The sequence below is a fragment of the Homo sapiens genome, chromosome 15, assembly GCF_000001405.40.
Source record: "Homo sapiens chromosome 15, GRCh38.p14 Primary Assembly".
NCBI lineage: Eukaryota > Metazoa > Chordata > Mammalia > Primates > Hominidae > Homo > Homo sapiens.
In genome coordinates this window covers 36,819,346-36,844,578 of record NC_000015.10, presented here as the reverse complement: position 1 = coordinate 36,844,578, position 25,233 = coordinate 36,819,346, and the positions used below count along the sequence as shown (strand labels likewise).

Genomic DNA, 25,233 nt, shown 5'->3' with positions numbered 1-25,233 from the left:
AGCTTGTTGAAACTGAAGGGGAAAGAGATTTATAATCTTACTTATACAAGTCAGGCAATGTTCTGGTGGGGGAAGAGGGATTTTTAGGAGCTCTTTAAGTGAGGATAATGTGAGTATTTGGTCTTAATAAGCAGTGAAATGAAACAAGAGGGTAACATTTAAAAAAAGATTCATTTACTCAGGAAAGCCAAGTTAATGTATTAAATAATGGTATAGAGGTGTAAACTATGTCTTATGCTACTACTAAGCAAAAGACAGTTGCAAATTCTTCTATATCCATTCATTTAAAATGATATTTTTGACATAATAAACATAGCTAACATTTATTGTGTGTTTAGTGTGTATAAAACATATTTATTCTTCAGGAAAATTCTATGTGCTAAGCTACTATACCCACTTTACAGATGAGGCATTGAGAAGTTATGTTACTTGCCAAAGGTCACACAGGTAGTAAATAGCAAAGCCAGAATCTCGACTTACAGTCCAGCTCTGGATGCCGGGTGCATTAAGTTGACTTTGATTGTTCTGTGTTATTTTGTTTAGTATAACTGCTGATATTGCTTATTCTACTTTCTTGCAACTGAAATAAAATCTTGTGGGTCGAGTCACTTAATTCCACTGGGTTCATTTGAGATGAATGATAATTACTAGTGGCATCTAGTGATGTTTATTCTGCTGATCTGATATAACAAATGGAGAATTTCTGGCAAAACATTGGAGTATCAATTAATTGATTTATTCACAAGTGTTCATTTTCCTGAAGTGAAAATTAGATTTTGTTCTTTAATAACTATTTTTTCTTTGATAAAGATAGGATAAATAACAGCTAGTAGGTAATTATAATTTATTTAATTTCTACAAAATAGCTAACTCAAACCCATTTGGAAATGATAAAGAGAGGAAATTTTACATGGATAGTAGGAAGACTACAATAGCTTGAGGAAATCTAGGAAAAGTTATGCAAATGGATGTAGATGCTAGTGAAAAGCTCCTTAAAACATGTAGCAAATGTAGGTAGACTTTCCTATAATCAGTTCAATAGGCATTCAACATTTTTTGTATGTCACAGTTACAATTGAGGACAGTATCTTAGAAATTCAGAATTTAAAGATCTGTAGCAAGTAGTAGAATACCTGGTCCTTATTAGGTACAGGTTGAATATTTGTTGAATGGTTATTACAGAATAAATTAAAATCACTGCCGCAAGACAGAAGGAAACAGGCTCAAACTTCTCTTTTTTTAAAACAATTTTTACTTCCATATTTTCTACCCAAAATATATGTGGTAGATATCACCAATGAATATTAATTGAGTGGGTCAGATTCAGCTACTCAACATTTCAATTAAAAGATCATCCTGAAAGAAGATGGTAACCACATTTCTTCTAATTTCCTCAGGCAATATAATCAACTACGTTCTGAGTTTCCATTCCTGGTGTTAGTGTTGTTTGCCTTTTCTAGGTAATCTTCTTTTTTAACTTGATTTTTGTTCTTTAATTGTTTAAAATATATCACCCACTTTCAACCTCATGAAAGAGCACATATGCACGTGGGGCATTTTACCAAATCACCTAATATCAGTGCTTTTTCTTTTTAATTATCTACTTTTTAGAAGAGATTAGTAATAGTACCAAAACACCATTTCTCCTTTTCTTTCTTTTCTAAATGGCCAACATGTAGGAAGTTGAGAGTCTCTGGTCACTCCTTCCGGACACACACAGACACCAGCATCCAGCCTCCTTTTTAACTCAGCATTTTCCATTTTCCATGTGATGCTTTGAATCCAGGTTATCCTTTCTGCTCTTTCTATTCAACCTGATATTGAGACTGGCCCAAGCAGAAGCAAAACCAAACAAAACCAAACAAACAAAAAATCAAGTTGAGTGTCCAGCATCCTTGTCAGCTCCTCTGAGACAGTGGATGGCACTTGGGAAATCAGAGGTGACAATCTTGTGCTCTGGTTTCTGTCCTGTCATGATGGAGATAATAATACCTGTCGCCGAGTAGTTGGTGAAACTCAGGTGAAAGTTATTGTGAATAATGGCCACACAACTGCATGGCTTTAAGCCAGTCCCTTGTTGAATGAGAAGCAAAATCTAATGAGGAGAGTGACTCTCTCTGAAAATGAGATCTTAGGTTTAACAGCTGCAATTCCAAACCTGAAATGGAAGACACGTAGGGCTTTTCTTTGCCTGAGCTTTTGGTTGGGGCAAGAAGTGCCCTGAAGTTCGAATTTTCAGTCTGTATCTCAAAGGTAATGTCTAGAAATCAATTTTCTGCTTGTCCTCTTGTTTAGTCAAGGGGAGAAATTTGCTGCTTATGAAGGGTTGAGGGCCTGACACCACTTCAAGAGAGCTCTCCAGGACCACAGGTTAAGGAATCTTCTGTGTAATCTCGTCCTCCCCACACTGCAGACAGCCTCAACCTTGACCTAGAGGGAATTTCCTTTCTAGAGGAGAGCAAGGAAATTCTGTTTCCATGTTAACAGAGGGAGGTCTCCTCCTGTCACTGACTGCTGCTGTTAGCTTTGTGGGCTCTGGGAGCCCAATTATGTGTGGAAACATTATAAAAAGGAGCCAGTGCTCAAACTGGCATGCAGAAGACACGGACAAAGATTCCGTCAACAAATAATGGAACGAGCTTGTGTGTTGGTACACACATTTGTGGTTTAGAAGATTACCTTTCAAAGTGGACTTACTGTGCAATTGGAAATGAGCTGAGACCCCCATTTCTATACCTTTCCTGCTTGGATGGTCTGGATGTCATCGACACAGGCAGCAGAGAAAATAACAGCAGGGTTAACTGTTCATGCAAGTGTAATAATAGTCTTTAACAGAAGAAGAGTAATTACCTTTGTCTAGTTTTCCCTGCTGTAAAATGTAATAAAATAGAGACCAGTGTCTACTGCTGATATGCACCATGCTTCTCTTCTGAAATACACGCCAGTGACTCTGAAACACCCTTTGCTCACAAGCTAAATTCACATCTTAATTTTGAAAAATCCATTACTGTTGGGTAGATTCCCTGAATGCATGTGACAGCTCTCAGGCCAGTGCTATTAGGTGAGAAATCTCAAAGCCGTGAGAGATTTACAGCCTGGGAGATCATAGAGCATGGGTGGGTGCAGTCCCATCCCCCATCGATTCTCCAACATCACGATGACAGGAGGTATCTATGTAGCAGAAGGAAGAGCTCAGAGGGGTGGCTTCATTTGGAAATAGAAGCCCCTGTTAGCAGCCGGAAGCAGTGGTGCTGAAAAGCAATCGCTGGTGTCAAGAACTTTCTTAGCTAAGCAGTGCAGCTGGTGGCAATAAATAGCATTCTAATAAAGGAGGATGTTCAATCCATGACATAAGTACATACTGTTTCAACTACCAAACATAATTTATGAGGCTGCATATGTCTGAAATGGATTCCCCCTATACATTTATGAATAAAAATGCAAAGATTTCAAAAGGAGGAAAAGATCTGCATTTTAAATCCAAGTAAAATGGGAAGATCAATGAGAAGTACACTGCTTTTTAAAAGTACACTATGATACATAACATTTTAAAGATGTGTTGGGTGTCATATTGTACAACTACCTCCATTCCTAAGAAAGATGGATACTATTTTCTATGATAGTGAATGCTATATTTATGACAAGGGGTCTTATAACACTCCACCTCTTCCCAGAAGCTGCAAAAAGGCAAATGCTTACATTGAATATCTTGGACCTTACTTTCGAAAACATGAGCACATGTTCTTACCTAAGCCATTGATGAAACCCAGTCGATTTCACATAATCCTTAAAACAGTTCTGAAGGAACTTGAAAATGATGAACCAGAAAAGCCATGTGTACTATTAGGCTTAAACAACAGGGCTCATTTGACCTCTTAACTCATTGACTCTGCATGAGCAAAATAAGTTATTAGTTTTGACATAACCAGTGGTTATTTTACCATCTACTGCTGTTCTTTGTTACATGTTCTATTCATATCACATGTTATTGCTCTTTATAATTATTGTGGAACATAGCAATTGCACAGAGTGTATCATATCCCACTGGGATAAACATTGTGGATGAGGGACCAGAAGAACTTGCCTTTGACTTAAAGTTTATTCCTACTGCTTTCTTTACACGAGAAAGATTTTTCACTGATGGCATTCACAAAACTAACTCTATGTTTTAATGCCTATGGAGCCACTTTGAATAGCACTTTATTCAGGAACTCCAAATGCCAATTTGTTTTCTACTGTGAGGTGTGTGTTCAAGCTTATGAAATGAATAGCTGGTTAATCTTTTAAGCTATTACTCAAGATAAAAATCCACTGAACCTGAAAGCAAAATACAGCATTTACACTGCTGTTCTTTGAAATTTATTTTCCATGCTGTGCCTGTATAACTGTTTATTAATAACATATTTTTGCTTTAGAAAGGAAGCAAAGGTCTGTAAGCTCAGATGTCAATGGGTATCAATATTTTATCCTTTTGTTGACTTTGAAACTCATTACTTAGTGATAGAGAAGCTGAATTTCTATTCTCTTCATGGTGGAAACGTAAAAAAATTAGTAGCATTGCAGCATAAAGACATACTGCCAAATGGATATTATTGTTATGTGTTTTAATTGTAAGTGCAAACCCCATCTAAATAAGGGCAGATGTATTTCCACTGTACAATGTGTTTGTGGGTTTTTTTTATTTTTTTTTGAGAAAGTCTCGCTCTGTCGCCCAAGCTGGAGTACAGTGGCATGATCTCGGCTCACTGCAACCTCCGCCTCCTGGGTTCAAGCGATTCTCCTGCCTCAGCCTCCTGAGTAGCTGGGATTACATGTGTGTGCCACCACGCCCTGTTAATTTTTGTATTTTTAGTAGAGATGGGGTTTCACTATGCTGGCCAGGCTGGTCTTGAACTCCTGACCTTGTGATCTGCCCACCTCGGCCTCCCAAAGTGCTGGGATTACAGGTGTGAACGACTGTGCTCAGCCAGGGCAGGCATATTTCAAAGCACCATATTATAAAGTCAGGAACCACTATAGAATAACATGAAAGCTTTGACATGTTCTACTTGGTGAGGAGAAAAACACTTTAGATAATCAAAAGGGAGAGAACTACTAGAAAGATCTTGCTTGACTCTGTCCTCTAAACTGTTCAGAACCAGATGGTTTCAGAGATACTATACATGAAACTGATAAAGATTTCAACCCAGTGGTTTCTGGGGGAATTCTAGGCAGATGCCATCAGGATGTGCTTAAAAAGTTAAACAGCAGTAATGAATTCCCTTAAATGTCTCTTAAAGTGCATATGGATTCTCCAAAGTCTGTACTTTGATTTTGTTTGTGAGGCTGATAGCTGTAAGTCCAAACAGGGGAATGGAGTTAGTCAAGATTTTAAATCACTTGCATACATGTTCTTTCTCTAAGTCAGCAACAGGGAAAACCTGAAAGTTTTTCTTACTTTTCAAGGAAGCATGGATGAGCATATGGTGAACATTAGTTATCTTAAAAGTAAGTTTTGGTCATGGCTAAATATTGCCTCTTTTTTCTGATATCATTAGCTCAGGACTGAATTAACCTGACACACACGTACAACATTAAAGAGAGTGTTGGCAACAGACTTCTCAGTCATTGTTCCACACACTAGGGACAAGTACACACCTTTGTTGCTGACTGTGGGTGGAACTTGGACAGTTTTAAGTGCAAAAGTAGAGTTAGGAGTGGTACCACTCTGACTCTCACATTGAATTGCACCATGCAAATTGAGGTGTTAGAATCATCTGAAGTTCCTTTGGGAAAACACGACCTAGTGACAGTTGTCTTGGTGTAGTCTTTCACCTGATAATCTTCAATATTCTCACTTTTAACAGAAGGAAATGTGCTTTCTACTGCTAATGAAATCCCTGTGGTGGTGTAAGAGGTAACAGTGAAAAATTTTGAAGAACACAAGCACCTAGTGGCAAGGATTTCCAAGTCTGGAATTGGGGTGCCCAGCCTCTCTCTTGAATTCTGGATTCATATTTTCATCTGTCTGCTTGTCTTGGTAGCTCTTTCACCTTGATGGGTAGTAAACATTGGCCCTTGTCTTACAGGAGAAATTTTCTCCACTCTCAGTGCCAGAGAAAGCTGGGTCTTTATTTTTATCCTCAGGACAATGTGGATCTTGCACTGAGACAACTTCTCTCTTTGCTCTCGCCCTTCAGAAACGTCAAGCCAAATCAGTCTTTCTTCAAGTAATCATATACATCATACAGCATGCATTTTGAGTGCTAATTTTAATCTTGACTTCAACTTACTTCTCTTCACCTTCATTTCCTCATTTATTTCATTTTTTAAACAAACATTTTGTAATGTTTCTACCCCGGCAAGGCACCCCCAAATCCATTTATACAACAAAGAGGAACATAAATAAATAATCCAAATTTGAAAAATGTCATTTTCTTCCCCATATCCTCTTTTACACTCAGTGCTTTAAATTACTGAATTCTCCCTTTTCTTCAGTCACCATTTCTATTCAGTCTTCCTTTTAAATATCTCCTGAAGCCACTCCTTGTTTTTCTGTTCTCCTGCCGTTGCCTTAATTCAGGTAGGCCATCTGATTGGCCTCCCTTTTAGACTCTCATTTTAATAAATTCCACCTCCATGAGTATGGTTGTTATTTCTCTGCTTACAAATACAAATATTATTATTACTTCCTTGCTTAAAAATCTTCAATTGGCTTTGTACTTCCTGTAGACTAACATCTACATTTCTGTCATGTGCTGTTTATTATCTGACCCCAGATTTTCTTCTAGGCTTTTTCACTGCCCTTCCTCATAACCCCATGCAACATGCCACCCAATAATGCTGACCTGCTAATAATGTCCTGAACATGCTGTATTTTTTTTCACACTTCCATGTCATTTTGATGCTATTCTCTTTGCCTGGAAAAAACAATCTCTGTGCCCTAACCCTTGTCCATATATTTCCTAGAGAAAGACTGCTGCTTGTGGAGGCCTCAGCTCCAATGCTATTATCTTTCAGAAATGCCCAGGCATAAATACTCTCTTCTCTCTGCCACCTTGCAACTTGGAATAAGTTTTCATGATGACATATCCAACAGGTATTTTAAGTATTTGTTTACTTGTCTCTTACCTTGATGACACCCTAGTTCTACAACAGTAGGGTCTTGTTATTCTTCTTTGCATCCTCAGTGTCTAGCATAAGACTTGACACATTGTAGGTGTTCTATAAATGTTTATTAAATTAATGAATAGAGGAATGGATTACTGAATAAGTGATGGAATGAATTAATAAATCACTTACCTCTGGTCAATGAGAGAGAGAACCAGATTCTCTTGTCCTGTTGAAAATACGGGTGATTTCCACATTTTTACCAGTTGTTATGGGTTGAGTTGTATCCCTTCCAAATAACTCCTAGTACCTCAAAATGTGACTACATTTGGAAGTAAGGTCATTGCAGATGTAATTAGTTAAGATGAAGTCATAAAGGAACAGCATGGGCCACTAATTCAACGTGACTGATGTCTTTATAAGAAAACGGTCATCTGAAGATAGAGATACACAGGGAGATAACGCATGATAACAAAGGCAGAGATTGGAGTAATGAAGCTGCAAGCCAAGGAATGCTAAAGATTGTCAGCAAACCACCAGAAACTAGAAGAGGCAAGGAAGGGTTCCCTTACAGTTCTCAGAGGGAGAGTGGCTTTGCCAATGCCTTGATTTTAGACTTCTGGTCTCTGGAATTGTGAGACAATAAATTTCTGTTGTTTTAAGCCACTCAGTTTGTGGTATTTTGTTATAGTTGTCCTTGGAAACTAAGACACTCTCTAAGCTCACTTTTAAATGTGGGGATTGCTTTTATGTAATTTTCCTTCATTTAATTATGATAATATGCACAATTCACTTCAATTTGTTAATGTTCACAATGTTTCTAAACAATGCTTCTCTCAAATATTTCAAATAAATACTTCAAATGTGAATGTCATATTTATCAGTAACACCGCTGACCTAAAAAAATGGTCCTACCAGAGCAGTATTAAGGATAGTCCCTACCTGGCACCAGAGCATTAAAGTCTCAGTAATCAGAGTTAATACAGTTTTTGAAAAAAATCAACTATTTGGGGATGTCATTTACATACAATAAAAATGAATCAATTTTAAGAGAAAAGTACAACAATTTGTTTATCCATTTACATGTTGATGGATGTTTGAGCTGTTTCCAGTTTTTGGCTACTATGAATTAAGTTCATATAAATGTTCATTACAAGTCTTTGTGTTGACACATGTTTTCATTTCTCTTGGATAAATATCCAAGGGTGGAATTGCTGGATCATAGGGTAAATGTATGTTTAAAATTTTAAGAAATTTTTAAACTGTCTAAGTGTTGCACCGTTTTACCTCCCCACTAACAATGTATGAAAATTTCAATTTTTCCATATTCTCCCCAAATCTCGATATTGTCAGTCTTTAAAACTTTGGCTATTCTAATGGGTGTGTATATTTTGTGGTTTTTATTTGCATTTTTCCTAATGACTAATAATGTTGAACACTTTTTCTCGTACTTATTGGCCATTTGTACATATTCTTTTGTGAAGTACCTGTTCAAATCATTTGCCCAGCTTCTAAACCTAGAGAGCTTGTCTTCTTACAACCCCTGAGTTGTAAGTGTTTTTAAAATACATATCCTGGATACAAATCTTTGTCAAATATGTTTTGTAAACATTTTCTCCTAGGCTATGGTTTGCCTTTTCTTTTTATTAGTGGTGTGTTTCAAAGAACAGAAGTTTTTCATTTCATTGAAGTCCAATTTATCATTTCTCTATCATGATACATGCTTTTTGTGGTTTATCTAAGAAATCTTTGTCAAGATCAAATAATCTTTTTGTCTTATTTAAAAAATAATTTCATAAATTTATCTTTCATGTTTAGGCTCTGATCCATTTTGAGTTAATTTTTGCATATGGTGTGAGGCAGGGGGTCTAGATTTCCTTCTCCTTATAAATGTATAGTTGTTCCAGCATTATATTTTGAAATACCTATGTTTTCTGCATTGAATTGCCTCAGCACATTTGTCAAAAATCAGTTGGCATTTAAGTCTGGGTCTATTTCCAGACTCTCTAGTCTGTTCTATTGATCTATGTGTCTATTTAGCACACTGCCTTGATTCCTGAAGCTCTATACTAAGTCTTGAAGTTAGGTAGATTAGTTCTTCAATTTCATTTTTCTTTTTCAAAATCGTCTCGGTTATTCTAGGTCCATTGCATTTCAATGTTAATTTCAGAATTAACCCATCAACTTCTAGAAAAAAAAACACTGCTGGTATTTTGCTTAAGATTGCATTGAGTCTATTGACCAATTTGTTGAGAACTGACATCTTAACAACATTAAGTCTTCAGATTCATGAATCTGATATTATTTATTTCAGACTTCTTTGTTTTTCTCAGTAGGAATTAACATATTTAAAAATAGTTTTTGTTAAAGTTTATTTCTCAAAGACAAACTATAATTCTTCCTTTTGTGACTTGGGTCTTGTTATACCCTGAGCAGGACAATGTATGGACTACTGAAAACAAAGGCAGAACCAAGAAAAATCAAACCATTCTGATATTGGTCATAAGTAATTTCTCTTCCTTCTTCCACGTAATAATAATGTTCATAGAATAAAATTGGATTATTTTACAATGGAGATGCAATTGACTTACAGAGATTACTTTTTCTTTTATAGTCAGAAAAAATGATGACAATACACGCACACAAAAAGAAATAACTACAGGTCTCTAAATTTTAACATTACAGGTATGAATTTAGTTAATATGAAGATATCTAACTTCCATTTGAATGATGTATGGCATGAACATATCCTTAAATGACCTATTTAGAAGACAAGTGCTCTTTCTCAGGTTTTCACTTTTCTTCCTTGGCTATGTCATGGGCCCAAGGCCACATGACAACAACTGAAGACTGCATATACTGACCGTATGCTGAGTTTATATACTGGTTGTAGATTATAGATTGAGATCTTAGATTGAGAGTTTAGAGAGCAGATTATAGATTGTAGATTAAGTTTAGATGTAGGTTGTAGATTATAGTAGAATTACCCTGTATGTTTTACTGTTGGCCTAACTTAGATTTGCTTAGCTTTCATGACTTTGCGAACTTCAGGAAAAAGTATACTCTACAATTCCCTTATCCATAGTTTTGAAATCCAGAAAGCTCTGAAAACCTCCAATTTTTAGAAACATCTAATTTGGTTGTAAAACTTGATCTGACCTCAACTCATTTAGTGCCCAAACCTAACTAAACTGGCATGAGGCTATTTTTGGTCTTTTCTATCATTTAGTATAAATATTTAAAAAATTCACTGCAGAAATATTTATACATTTGATTATGGGATGCTGTTGCACACCCTGCTGGGATGTTACAAATGGTATGTGCATCATATTACCTTTCTAAACTCTGAAAAATTCTAAATTCTGAAATGCATGTGGGCCCAAAGGTATTAGGCAAGTGATTTTTGACTTGTATATCTGATTTTTTGTATATCCTGAAGTCATGCAGTCAAGCTGTGGTGAATCTGCAGAATTTAATTTTTTTGTTATATCTGATTTATAAGCAGTCATAAAAGTGGTAAGGTAGAATTCTTTCATTTTTGGCAGCCCAGACTTCATTCCCCCTTTTTAACAGCAGCTGGCTCCTTTTGGAGCATGGCTTCTTCCCTATTGAGAGCTAACTCAGATGTCTCCTCAAAATATAGCAGCTGAAGAAGACAGAATTTCCCGTTTCCTGCCTCAGTGCTGTCAAGAGTTGGGCACATGTGATCCAAGCCTGGCTATTCAGATGACAGTCTTGCAACGTTGATTCTTGGATAAACAAAAGACTAGACGTCACACAACTCAGCCACAAGTGCTGCCCAGCATGTTCCTGGATCTTAGCCTTCTCAACTTAGTATCTTCAAACTTCCCTAGCTCTCAGTACCTGTAAATGTGACCTTATTTGGAAATAAGGTCTTTGCAGATATAATCAAATTAAGATAAGGTTATACTAAATTAGAGTGGATTTATAATCCAATATGACTGGAATCCTTATAAGAAGAGAAGAAACACACAAATACACAGTGAGAATGACACGTGACTACACAGGCAATGATTGGGGTGATCGATCTACAAGCCAAGGAAGGATAAGGATTGCTGGGAAACACCAGAAGCTGGGAGAGGCAAGGAAGGACTGTGAGATAGTAAATTTCTATTGTTTTAAGCAACCTAGTTCATGGTATTTTGTTATAGCAGTCCTTGGAAACCAATGTGCTATCAATAAATTCTGTCTGGGGTAAGTCAACCAGTTTGTTTTCCTGTCTGCCCCTAGGGATTCAAACATGCTAAGTAAAAATCTACATACCTTTATGTGATTCATGGATGTTATACATTATTTTACAATTCTAAACAGGAATATATTTAGATAAAATATTAAATGTTCCTACCTGGAAAACAACAAGCACCAAAGCTGAGAAAGAGACAGAGAGAAGAAAATAGTTCACAAATTCAGACACAAAACTGCAGAGCAACTGAAATCCTGAAGGTTTCCAAAATAAAATATTATGTTGCTCATAGCAACAAATTAGTGAATAGCCAATCAGGGCTTGCCTTTAAAATATATTAAAATAGGCTGTCCTTTACATAAGAGAAAGTCTTCTTTATGTTATGATTGCTTTCCAGGATATATTACATTATGATAAACGATTATCTACATTGTTTTGACAATCAGGGAATTTATGAATGAGAAACGGATTTGCCTGCAGTGATGAACTGAATTGTAAAAAAAAAAAAGCATTAGCAATGATGATACTTTTAAAAATGTGTTTAAGAATTGTGTTACAGTTTTGCTTTCTTTTTAATCAGGAGGAAGAGAAAAAAAAAGGCAGCCAAAAGGCATTTATTTTGTAGTAACAAGCATCTGACATCTCTCATTAGAAGAATTCACTCGCAAATCCGAAGGTATAGGCTGGTTTGTTTTTGCTCTATCACACTTACATGACCTCTCAGCTGCAGTATTGAGATCTCCTACTTGTGTTTTTAACCTTGTGCATGGGGCAATGTCGCAAACTTTTGCTGCTATTTATTCTGAGGTTTCTTAGGGTGAGAAAATGATGATTTTCACCAGTTTTAGGAGGGTATGTAGCAACGGGGACCCTGGGCTTAAAGATCTGCATGTTAGGCATGAAGTGCCTCCTGGATTTGTAGGAAATAAATCTCAAGGTGAAACAGAAATTATGACTACTTTTCTCCATTTATGCCTTTAAAAAAATCCAAAATAGAACACAATAAAAACCCAAGAAGTTAGATTACCTGTTGAGGAAAAAAGAAAGTGTCAAAGTTGAAGTATTACTAACAGACATGGTAAGATTATTTATACCAAGATTGCTTTAAAATTCTGTGAAGGCTAGCAATTGCAACTCCACCATGGTTAGGTGTTGCTTGGGGAGGTTAGCTGGCTGCCTGCCAAACAACCTCACAGTTTGGCATTCATCTTGATGAATTTAAAGTACAGCCTTTTCAGATTTGCAGGCTCTGAAATTGATGTATTCAGCATCCTGAGACTCACATGTACCAAGCTCACATGAGCCTGATATGTAAATCAGAATGCTAAAATAAAATATATAATAAGAAGCCTTTCTCACCGGCAAAGGAAAATCTAAATAAGAATCTAAATTGTAATGAGAAATAGGCTTGAAATGTATGGAATCAGAACATGGGAGATTAGTCATATGATTCAAATTTCAATGGCCTTGCTAACCAGATGCATTCACCTCCAGTAGCAAAGACCTACCAGTGGGACCTGATGGGCTGGCTGTGAGAACTTGGCCTTCTAGCCCTTGGCTGTGCTGGTCACCCACTGCCAGCTGCTTTACTTCTGACTCAATGTGACTTCCAGTCAACTTTCAGTATGACTCTTCAGAAAGGCCATTTCCTTCTCTAGATGTTTTAATGTCATTAGTAAAGTATCTGCTTTTGACATATGTCATCACCCAAATCTTTAACCTAGGAGAAATCTTTCAGTCATGTTGGAATGCTTTATTTACTTACAAATCAATAATTTTCCATCATGTAATATTTAAATGTTTCCCAACTTAATAAATTCTGATTTGGAGGAAACCTTACTTTTGTTCTGTGTATTATCTACAGGCACTAAGATCCTGAAAATGTCTTTTCCTCTTCACATTACACACAAGGAAACCAGACTGTGAACATAACAATGAGTTACTTGAAAATTAAAGGTAAGTCAATGATGCATACCTGGTTCATGTAGTTAATCAGTGAACGTTGGTGGAGTGAATGAGTGTGAGTGTGAATGATGAGTATGGCTGACATGTTTTGAATTTGACTTGAAACGGAACAGCAGAGGACATTGATGCAGAGATTTTCCTGCTCATCACTTTATGATCATCAAAGACACTTTTTTAATTAAATAAAATCTTTACTAATGAGTAACCTTTCAAGTTCCTATTGTTTCAAACACATTCAGTTCACAGTGAAAAGTGGCAATGACCTGATTTTGCCATTTCGTTTTAATAATTTAGACTGTTTTCTTTTTCTGAGGCAATTTAGGCACAAACAGTGAGATGCTGCCCCTGAAAAAAATTGTCAATAATTACAAGATCACATTCTATCCTGCTATTTTCCTCAGGACAAGAAACTCTTGTCCTTACTGGAGAACTAGCTTAGTGGTCTCCCTATGGTATTAGTCCATCAGTGGATATAGATATTGAGTGTCTTTCATGTATAGGGTATTTTGTTAATTGCAGCAGTGTAGTTATTACTACACATGTTCTTCACCTTCGGACATATTAGTTGAAAAGCCAATATCTACATAAGCAAAGTTAGTTATCATTACAAAGCAAATACAAAAGAGCTGGAAGAAACATTAAAGACTGTAAGCATTTATACAAAACCACTCACCAGAGTTGGAGAAGTTGGGAATTCTTCAGGGGCCTTATGAAGACTTTATTTTCTTCTCATCTTACCCAACTTTCTCTTGTTCACACACAAAATCATTGTTTAAGTATTTTATGTTCAAAGATATTCTATCAGGCTGGGAGTGGTGGTTCACGCCTGTAATCCCAGCACTTTGGGAGGCCGAGGCAGGTGGATCACAAGGTCAGGAGTTCAAGACCAGCCTGGCCAAGATGGTGAAACCCTGTCTCTACTAAAAATACAAAAATTAGCTGGGCGTGGTGGTGGGCACTTGTAATCCCAGCTACTCAGGAGGCTGAGGCAGAGAATTGCTTGAATCTGGGAGGCAGAGGTTGCAGTGAGCCGAGATCATGCCACTGCACTCTAGCCTGGGCGACAGAGCGAGACTCCATCTCAAAACAAAACAAAAAAAAGATAGTCTATCTTCTTGGATTATATAATATATTCTGAGCTTTCAAGCCAAGTATAATGGCAAGGCCAACTTCTTTCACTACATTCTCTTCTTAGGTCTTTATATATGAATGACTTCCAGGATCATATCTCCAGGACAGTCCCCCTTCCCTCTGACCTCCAGACTTACTCTTTGACTATCAGTTTGACACCTGCATTTGGTTGTATGGCAGTAGGCATCTCAAACTTACTATATCCAGAACTCTAGATTTCTCCTCCACTTGTTCTTCACCACCATCACAAGCCCCAGGTCTTCCTCAGCTCTGTGAATGGAACCACCATCTAACCACATGCTCAAGTTAAAAACCTAGAAGTCACTCTTGAGTGCTGTTTTCTTCTCACTTTTCCTCCTCTTTGCCTCCCTTGATCTATCCAAAAGTCCTCCAGGTCCTACCTCCAAAATACATTCTATATCTATCCGCTTTTACTAACCTAGGCCAAGCTACCATCATTTCTTGCCTGGTCTCTCTTTTTATTCTTTAAACCTAATTTTTTTATTTTGGTAAAATATACAGACAATCCCCAATTTAAGAAGGTTCTACTTATGATTTTTTTTTACTTTGCAATGATTCAGAAGCAATAGGCATTCAGTAGAAACCATACTTCAAGTATCCATACAGCCATTCTGAACATTTTATTATAAAATAGGCTACGTGTTAGATGATTTTGCCCAACTGTCAGCTAATGTAAGTGTTCTGAGCATGTTTAAGGTAGGCTAGGCTAAGCTATGTTGTTCAGTAGGTTAGGTAGATAAAATGCATTTCAAGGCTGGGCACAGTGGCTCGTAATCCCAGAACTTTGGGAGGCCAAAGCGGGCAGATCACAAGGTCAAGAGATTGAGAGTATCCTGGCCAACATGGTGAAACCCCGTCTCTACTAAAAATACAAAAATTAGCTGGGCGTGGTGGCACTGCCTGTAGTCCCAGCTACTTGGGAGGCTGAGGCAGGAGAATCACTTGAACCCAAGAGGCAGAGGTTGCAGTGAGCCAAGATTGTGCCACTGCACTCCAGTCTGGCAACAGAGTGAGACAGCATCTCAAAAAAAAAAAAATGCATTTCAACTTACAATATGTATTTTTCTGTCGTCTTTATTTCTTTTCTTTTTTTTTTTTTTTTTTTGAGATCAGCTCTGTTGCCTGCCTGGGCTCAAGTGATCCTCTCACATCAGCCTTTCAAGTAGCTGAAACCACAGGTGTGTGCCACCATGCCTGGTGAATTTTTTTAATTTTCTGTAGAAACAGGGTCTTATCATGTTGTCCAGGCTGGTCTCAAATTCCTGGGCTCAAGCAATCCTCCTGCCTTGGCTTCCCAATGTGTTGGGATTACAGGCATGAGCCACTGTGCCCAGCCTCTCTCACATCTATTCTCTTTTCTTCACTGCATTTATCACTATTTAACATTGACACGCTTATTCATTGGTTGGCTTATTTATAGTCTGTCTTCCTATTTTAGTATCTGCCACCATAGCACTACTGACCAGTGGATCTAATAATTACAAAGTCAGTTGGTTTCTTATTTTTACTGTCCTGTGGTGTAGTATATTAATCTTCTAAATGTAATACTTAGGCATTTGCAAAATGGCACATCACACTTAAACTATAGTATGCTCTCTGTTATTGTGGTACCTAGACTACAATAGTACATCACTGTGAGGTTGAGACTAGACATCTGAAAAGTGAGTATGTGCCTTGGAAGTACTTAAGACACAGCAGATCAATATATTTGGACGGCCATGTCAAAGTGAGTGTGTAATTTGTATTAAGTGAGTGTGGACACTCATAGATGGTACCTATAGATCCTTGCTGTTATTGGTCACATACTGCTGTCAGGGGAAAAAATTGTGCACACACCCTTAAACTCTATGCATTTATTTACAAATTGTTTATAAATTGTTAGTATTTACTTACAAATATTGGAAAATATTGGTAAAATTAGTAAAATATATTAAATATTAGTAAAATTAAGTTTTTATTTTTTAAGATTAAAAAGCAAATAGAGGTTCCAATATACCTTTTCTACATATACTCTTGGATAAATGCTCCCCACTCTTGAGCCCACTGGCCTAATCACAGACCATGAAGTATGTCAAGAGCAAAGCTCTCTTCACTGTCATTAATCAATCTTCTGTCAATATGCTTTGTGGAGGTATAGATCTCTTTCAGCTGCCTGTCACAACAGAATGACAGTTGTCTGCCTCTCCTTAAAATGCAGGGAGAACACTTGATGGTCTCTGGTATGATCTACTAGTTTTTTGTTGAGTAAAGTTATTAATGTTCTGGCCTTAATTTTCCTTCAGACCCTTCTGGTAGATATAATCTTCTGCCTTTTTTCCTTTTCCTTTTTTTTTTTTTTTAAATAATCAAAGGAGTCTTTGTGTTCCAGTATGACACTAGGCAAAGTTTTTATACAGCCCATCAGGAATTCACATATGACCTCACTGGACAATATTCAGCTTATACTTCATCACATCATGTAATTTATGTGAAAAAATTTAAATGAATAAGGCTTTCAGAATAAGAATGTTTTTATATTTAGCAAAGTAGTTGAAAGAGACATATATGATAATTTTGCCCATTGTTTATACATTTATTCTAATGAATATGATTAGTTTTATTTAAGAAATAGAATTGTATAAAGTCATCTTTTCATTGAAATTAAGCATACTGTGTATATACTGTAAGTTGCTAAGGTCTGGTGAAAGTTGAGGTGTTTGGGGGTGCTTGGTATAATGAGTTTTTTGCTCAATCAATTGATTTTCCAGTTACGTTCTTTTCAAAATTAAGAGAGAAAAAAAAATTCTTCACCTCATAGCATTTGAATTATCACTCTGTGATCAGATAGTCTGAATAGTTTCCACCAAACTGAAAATTTTCTGTTTCCATGAGCTTTGTAAAAGAGTCTTCCTGTTTTAAGAGGAGAAAGAGGAAAAAGCAAAGTTGTCTGTATGGGAGGCCAGGTCTATTCTCGGCTTTGTCACTAATTACTGTGTGGCCTCCTGCACGTCCCTTTATCTCTCCAGTATGATTGTTTTCTTATCTATTGAATGGACACAGTAATTCCTGTTCTCCCTCACATTTTTAGGAAGTGCTTTAACTCTGCAGGGATATGCATGGAAATGACTATATAAGTAAAGAAATTTTGCCATAAAAGCTGCTCACACGTAAAATATTACTATACATGAATTTCAATTTAAAAACTGTTTTTTGTGTATCTACTGTGTTATGTTTTATCACTTTTTGCAAATAACCTTTTTATTTTCTAACAGTTTTAGATTTACAGAAAAGCTGTGAACATAGAGTTTCTATATACCCTGCATCCAGTTTCCCTTATTATCAACATTTTATATTAGTATCTTATCCTTATTTTTAATAACTAAAATAAATATTATTCTGTATGTTCAAGGACTGAAAAATAAATGTGGCATCCCCTGATTCCTTTTCTGTGATCTTAGCTTCCCACTCCCTCACCAGCCCATGAAAAACAATGTATGTGTTGTAAGATGTATCAGTTATGACGTTTTTGGCTCCAAATAACAGAAAGACCTGACCCAACTGGCTTAAGGAGTAAAGAAAATGTATCATCTCAGATGACAGGAGATGTGGAGGTAGAAGAGTTCTGGGATTGATGCAGCAACTCAGGGACATCAGGAGAGTCTTAGGCTTCTTCCATTTTAATTAAATTTATTTAATTAGTTAACTTTTTTAGACAGGGTCTGGTGCTGTTGCCCAGGTTGGAGTGCAGTGGTGCTATGTTGGCTAACTGCAACCTCCACCTCCGGGGCTGTTGATTCTCCCACTTCAGCCTCCTTGGTAGCTGTGGCCACAGGCGCATACCACCATGCTCAGCTAATTTTTCTTTTTTTTTGGAGAGACAGGATTTCCTCCTGTTGCCCTGGCTGGTCTTGAACCCCTGGGCTCAACCAACCCTCCTGCCTTGGCCTCCCAAAGTGCTGGGATTACAGGGAGGAGGCACCATGCCAGGCTTCTTGCATTTTTCTGCCTTGTCATTTTCAGTGAGTTGGCTCTTCTGCAGTCTAGCACTGCTCCTGGTTGCTGGATTGCTGTAGCAGTTCCCACATTTTATCCAGAGGCTACCACAAATGGTAGAAGAGAGGTTGTTTCTCCCTTTGTGGTTCTTAATCAGCAAAGAATACCTTTCCCAGAAGCCCTCCAGAAGACTTTCTATTTGGTTTCATCCAATTTGCATCATATGCCCGCGCTACACCAGTTAATGGTAAGGAAAGGAGGGCGCCATGACTGGCTTATACTAATCATGACATGTCCCTTGGGGCTGGGATTGGTATTCTTTTCCTTTGAGAAAGTACATGGCCATCTAAGGGACAGGGAACACCTAAATGAAAGTGACCTTGGGGCAGAAAGAAAGTGTGGCAGTGGTGATGAGTGGCTGCTGGGTAAGCATTAACAAAAGCAACTTCAACAGATATTATTAAACTTGCATAATAATGGTGAGTGGAAGAAATTTAAATAATAAGATAGCTAATGCATATATTTGCATATTATGGGCCAGGTATTATTCTAAGAAAGTGGATTCTGTAATATCATCAAGGTATTTTCTAACTTACTTTAAAGTAATGTAGATTTGAGAATTCAGTACGGCTCTTTGGGGCCATTAAAATGTGCAAAGCTGCCTATTTTACAGATTGAGACAATATATGCTGAATAAATATTTGTTGAACTGTACTGAATGACTTTTTTTTCTGAAACTTTAAAGCAAGATATATATTTTGCTTTTTCTGGTTGTCTTGAATACAGCTTACTCTTTTACATTTTGGCCCTTAGACCATTTTGCCTTTATTGTTTAATGTATTGAATATACATATTTCAAGTGGAGTTAGTATGAATAAATTAATATAGATAACATTTTATATATAATGAATTGCATTAAAAAAGCTTAACTTATAACTGTCAGAACATTACTAAAATTTGAAGAATTCATTTGAAACTATTAATCATCTATTTTTAAAATTTTACATTTGTTTGACTTTTTGGTGTTTTACTGAGGTTTAATTTACTATGAATTCACTCATTTTTGGCACACAGCGTTCTATGATTTTAACACATTTATACAGTGTGCAACCACCAGAATTAAGAGGGAGAATATTTACAACATTTTAAAAAGTTCTCAGATGCTTCTTTTTAGTCAGTTTCCTCCCCTCCACCACATCTTCAACCCCTGGCAATTATTGCTTTGATTTCTGTTCCTACAGTTTCTCCTTTTCCAGAATATTGTATAAATGGAGTCATACAGTATATAGCCTTTTGAATCTGGCTTCTTCCACTCAGCATAAGTCTTTTGAGATTTATCCATGTTGGGGTATGCATCTGTGGTTGGTTCTTTTTTATTACTGAGTTGTGTCCAGTCATATGGATGTACCACAGTTTGTGTATTCATTCAGAAGATGGTGGGCATTTGGTTTGTTTCCAGTTTTTGGCATTCGTGAATAACATTGCTATAAATACTTGTGAAGAGGTTTTTGTGAGTACATTTGTCTTTATATCTCTTGGGTAAATGTCTAGGGGAATTGCTGGGTTATAAGGTAACTGTGTATTTAATTTTATAAGAAAATGCCAAGTTGTTTAACCAAGTTAACCATTTTGCATTCCTACCAGCTATGTATGAGAGTTCCAGTTGCTCCACATCTTCCCTCAACATTTGGTAATGTCAATGTTTAATATAAGGTATTCTAATAGGTATGTAGTAGTATCACACTGATTTTCATTTGTATTTCACTAATGACTAATGATGCTGAGTATCTTTTTATGTACTTACACAACACATCTCTTCATTGGTGAAATGACTATTCAGATCTTTTGCCCATTATTTTTTACTGGGTTATTTGTTTTCTTATCACTGAGTATTGAGAGTTTTTAAATATTCTGGATACAAGTTTTTAATCAGCTAGAATTCACAAATATTTCATCCCAGTCTGTCGCTTATGCTTTCATTTTCTTAACTGTGTCTTAGGAAACTAATCTATTTTTAAGATTCAAATTTGTATGCTCTAGGTTAAGAGAAATAAAAACATTTTATATTATGATTTCTTGAAGATTGCTTACATGCAGGTTAAGCTAAAATGCCTTTCTAAACCTCAAAAGGCCATGATAATTTTAAAATAAATTTTTCTCTAATATCCTGAAAAAAATGTTAAGCAACAATAGCATTAAGGCTTTCTAAAATACTACAATTATGAGCTGTTGATATTCATAATATTTATATCTGTCCTGAAGGTTTGCAGCATGATTATTACTTATCATAGGAAATTAAACTGTAGAAGAATGTACATTAAGTTTTCCTTATGGCTCATTATAACATTGCTATAATGCCAGATGAACCTCACCCCAACCCCCATCCCCTAAAAAAACAAGAGTTATCAATGAGCCACTGGGATAATGTCATATTAATCAAATAGAATATTAAGTCAATACTCTGGTTTTTCTGTTATACAATATTTGGAAACTTTATTAGTTGAGATAGACCAGGCTGATGCTATGGTAATAATTCCCAAATCTCAATGCTTAACACATAAAGGTTTATTTCTTGCTGTTTTTAAAAGGACTGCTGTAGGATGGTGGTGGTGGTATGTAGGTTGGTCTATTTAGTTTATCTGTGCTCCAGGGTGATGGAGATTCCACTTCTGGAACTTTGGTTGGGTGTTACAGCAAGGGAAGAGAAAGAATGAAGAATCCTGCAATGTTTCTCATTGTCTCCCTGACACATACAGGTCTCATCACTCACATTTCATTAGCTAGAATTTGTAATGTGGCCTCGAGGGGGCTGGAAATTGTGTAGTCTCTTGTACATTCTGGAAGTTGGGGAAAATTGAATATCGGTGAGCACTAATAATGTTTACCACATTTTCTAAAATAGCATAAAAGATAAATTATAACAACATTATGTAAACTAGAGGAACATTTTGAAATAGTTTTACTAATTACTGGATAGGAAATCTTGGATAAGCTACCTAACCTCTCTGAGCTTCAATGACCCCATCTGGAAAAGGGGTAATAGCAATAGCTAATACTTATCAAGTGTTTATAAGGTGTCAGGTTCTGTTATGAATACTCTACCTATATTAAATGCATTAATCTTTACAATTCACACACAAGAGGTACTTATTATCTCCATTGTTACATATGAGACAACTGCGGCACAAGGACACAAAGCAGCTAGCATCACCCAGACCACATGTGAGAGCTGGATCTGTGATTGAAGCCCAGGTATCTGGTGTCAGTGCTCCTCGACTCCATGACAAGGCTTTACCTCTTCTTTAATAGCTAATCACACCCATTTGAATGAGATGTGTATTAAGTACTTAAGTTGCCATTGCAACATTTTAGATGTTCTGGCAAAATAGAAAGCTGGCTAATATATTCAACTGAATAATTCAGTGAACATGGTGTTCTTTTTTGGAGGTGGGGAGTAGAGAGGGAAAAGGAAAGGGTTATCCCAAAATTATTGTATATGTGGCCAAGGATTTCTGTCCACAGTTCTCTATGGGGGCCTTTTACTTTCCGTAACTCATTTTAAAATTCTGACCTCAATACTAATAATGATGCCTTTGAAGACTTCAGTTCTGGCACAGGGACTCGACAGATTTTCACAGAATCCTACTATAGACTGAATTTGATGGTGATGCTCCATAATAAATTACTGGGTCCCTCTTCTCTCCAAGGGAAGTTAACTTCCATCACAGCACTCTTAAGAGTTTCAGATTGCATAGAAATCAGTGTTTCTGGATATGTCTGAGCAATCAGTGACTTTGTTAGACATTTCAACTGGATCTCTCCCACCATGCAGTATAAGAAATTACCAAGGGCTCTATTCTAGAAAGCCACGAGATTCCTTTGTCAGTTAGAAATGCTTTTGGGTGCAAGTAACAGAATACCTAATAAATAATAATTGAAACAAGAGGAGTTTATTTTTCTCACATAGTAAGGAGACTGAGGGTTGGCAATGTTGACATGGGCTCAGTGGCTCTAGTGGTTTCTTATCTTTTTCCTCATTGTCTTGATGGCCACTGCAGCTATAACCATCCCAGCCTTATATCAAAAGGAAGGGGATGACAGTAAAGGGAAGAAAAGCTTTCTATGAAACTTCACAAGGGGTGTCACAGTCACAACAGTATCACATGCTCATCATTGGCCCAGTTCACCTGTGCTGTGAAGATGCTGAGCATCTCCCTCCAAGCTCCTGATTAAAATGCATTCTGCTACACAGGATAAAGGAGTGTGTGTGCATATGTATGTGTGTCAATGGTTTCTGTAGACAATAAATTGTAGATGAAATACTGTGTAGACACACATTCTTTCTCATAGGCATCCGAGAACAGATAACTCCCTAACTGGGTTTTCATTGTGAGGGCCTATTAGCTGCTCTGGAACTGACCCGAGCCCTCTGAAAGTGGCGATATTGACTCCCAGCCCTAGAAGATGAGGGCCAATCAAGCTGTCTCTAGTGAGCCTCCAATTTCAGCACATGCGGGGTTATGGTTCCCACAGCAGTCAGGAAGCCCTTCCTCATCACATCTCCAACAAGAAGCCCTTCCTCATCACATCTCCTCATCACATCTCCACGAATGAATGAACTGATTATTTTGGCAACTCTGTAATTCGACTTCATTGCATTGTAAACTCAGATCAATTTTAGTTAATAATCAGATCAAGCCATTTCAGGACAGTTGTGTCAGGCTTAATATTTTTAACAAGATAGGGTACCAGGTTGAATCTGATGCAAATTAATTTGAAATTTTCAAATTCAGTTAACAAAAGAGTCTGGATTATCTTTATACCACGAATTCTATCATGCTAAATGGGTCCATTGCAAAGTTATTCCTGAGGACTGTAACTTCTGTTCTGCTGAACTTTTATTATTTTGAGTTAAAAGAGGTAATTTTTTTTTCCTCTCTAATTCCTCCTTTCATAATTTACGCAACACATTTGCAATAGAAGGAGCTATTGAGGGCACTGCATTGAGGACAATGTTACAGCACACACCACCAGTTTTCTTTCAGATGTTCTCATCCACCCATTGAGGTTGGAAGTTTGGAGAGTGCATCTGAAAGAGCCTACCGATATGCCTCAACTTGGTATCCCTGTCTTTTAGTATTTCATGAGATACTACTAACAAGCTAAGAAAAGACAGTCTCTGAGTGCTGAATATAGGTAGGTCTGGGCAATTTACTTATTGATTTATTAATTTTATTTTTTTGAGACAGAATCTCGCTCTGTTGCCCAGGCTGGAGTGCAGTGATGCGATCTTGGCTTGCTGCAACCTCTGCCTCCCGGCTTCAAGTGATTCTCTTGCCTCAGCCTCCCAAGTAGCTGGGACTACAGGCGCACACCATCACGCCCAGCTAATTTTTTTATTTTTAGTAGAGATGCGGTTTCACCATATTGGCCAGGCTGGTCTTGAACTCCTGACCTCAAGTGATCTGCCCACCTCAGCCTCCCAAAGTGCTGGGATTATCGGCGTGAGCCACGGTGTCCAGCTACAGTTTGTACTACAATTTCATATTTGTGGTTGAGTGAAAACACATTTTAATATTTATTTTTAAATTTTTTTTATTTTTCCAATAGCATATATTATGGAAGGAGAAATCATTCTCTTCAGTGTAAGTGTTCTTTCAAGTTTTTTTAATGTTGTAAAGTAAATAAATAAACAACTTCTACAAGAAGCAAAACAACATTAGTTAAATCCTCTGTAAGCAACAAAAGACCACTTATCTAACTGGAAGCTTAGTTAACTGGAACTTAGATGGGAAGCTTAGTTCATTGTTTGCAGAATGTTCTGAAGCCCCCAGATGAGAGAAGCCACATTTTTCGATATCTGGCATTTTTGTAACAGTGTTTTCAGCTGCCTAGGAGAGCTGACTCAGAATCTGCCTCCAACATCACTGGCCTGTGTTTTGTGAGGGGAGCATCAGTACTTGGTTCAATTGTTTAGAAATTATACAACTTGCCTGTGACCTAAGGAGGTTTATGTTTAGGAGTGGTGCGCTTTCGAAAATCATGTCCTTTTAAAAAGCCACCCCAAAAAGTGTCACAGTCATCAATCAGAGGAAGAATCCAGGAACAAACTAGTGATTTCCCCAAATTCCTTTTGCTTTGCCTTTTTGTTTTTTCAAAGATCAAATTCGAATAGCATTTTATGCTTTCTTTCACTGAAAAGAATGGCCTGAAGAAGGTATTTCACAACTAAGAATTAACAATGACCCGGAGAAGGTATTTCAATCCTCTTAAAGAAAGCTTTTATAGTATGACAAACCTATGCACCTTTAGGGGGCTCATCTTGTGCATGGTGGATTTGAGCCGTCAGTCAGATGTGGAAGTCCTGGCTGGTTCCTGTGCTGTGCCGCCGCTGAAGCTGTATTTATGGCAAAGGCTTCAGTCACTATCAAAAGTAACATGGGCTCACTGTCTCTGAGCCTCTCCTCCGAGCAGAGGAATGTTAAACCAGACATCTGTCTGCTAAAACAATCAATTAAACATATGCCTGCTCTCAAAGGAGGATCTTGTTCTGCCTGTCTCTTAAGTTTTGGAAAATGGCTTTTCCTAAATGAGCTTTAGAAAAGCAATAATAAGCCAAGCTACACACCTTATAGTGATTTTTATGTTAACACAGGAAACACACATTTTTAATGCTGTATATCGTTCAAGTAGAATTTTCAATGGGTGTAGTAATATAATTATAATTATATAACACATAATACAACTATAATATACGATACTAGTTTTATTAGAGCTATGCTTTATGAGGTATTAGGCACTAATCTTATTTAACTATCATAATAGTCCTGTGTGATGGGCATAATTTCAAT

The 25,233-nt window shown here is 37.0% G+C and overlaps 1 annotated feature.

Annotated features, from left to right (window-relative positions):
* Positions 12,876–13,045: an enhancer, noted in NCBI's record as "active region_9195". NCBI's record gives its function as "activates an Ori minimal core promoter by ATAC-STARR-seq in GM12878 lymphoblastoid cells {active_cell/tissue: GM12878}" and the evidence as "EXISTENCE:reporter gene assay evidence [ECO:0000049][PMID:35858748]".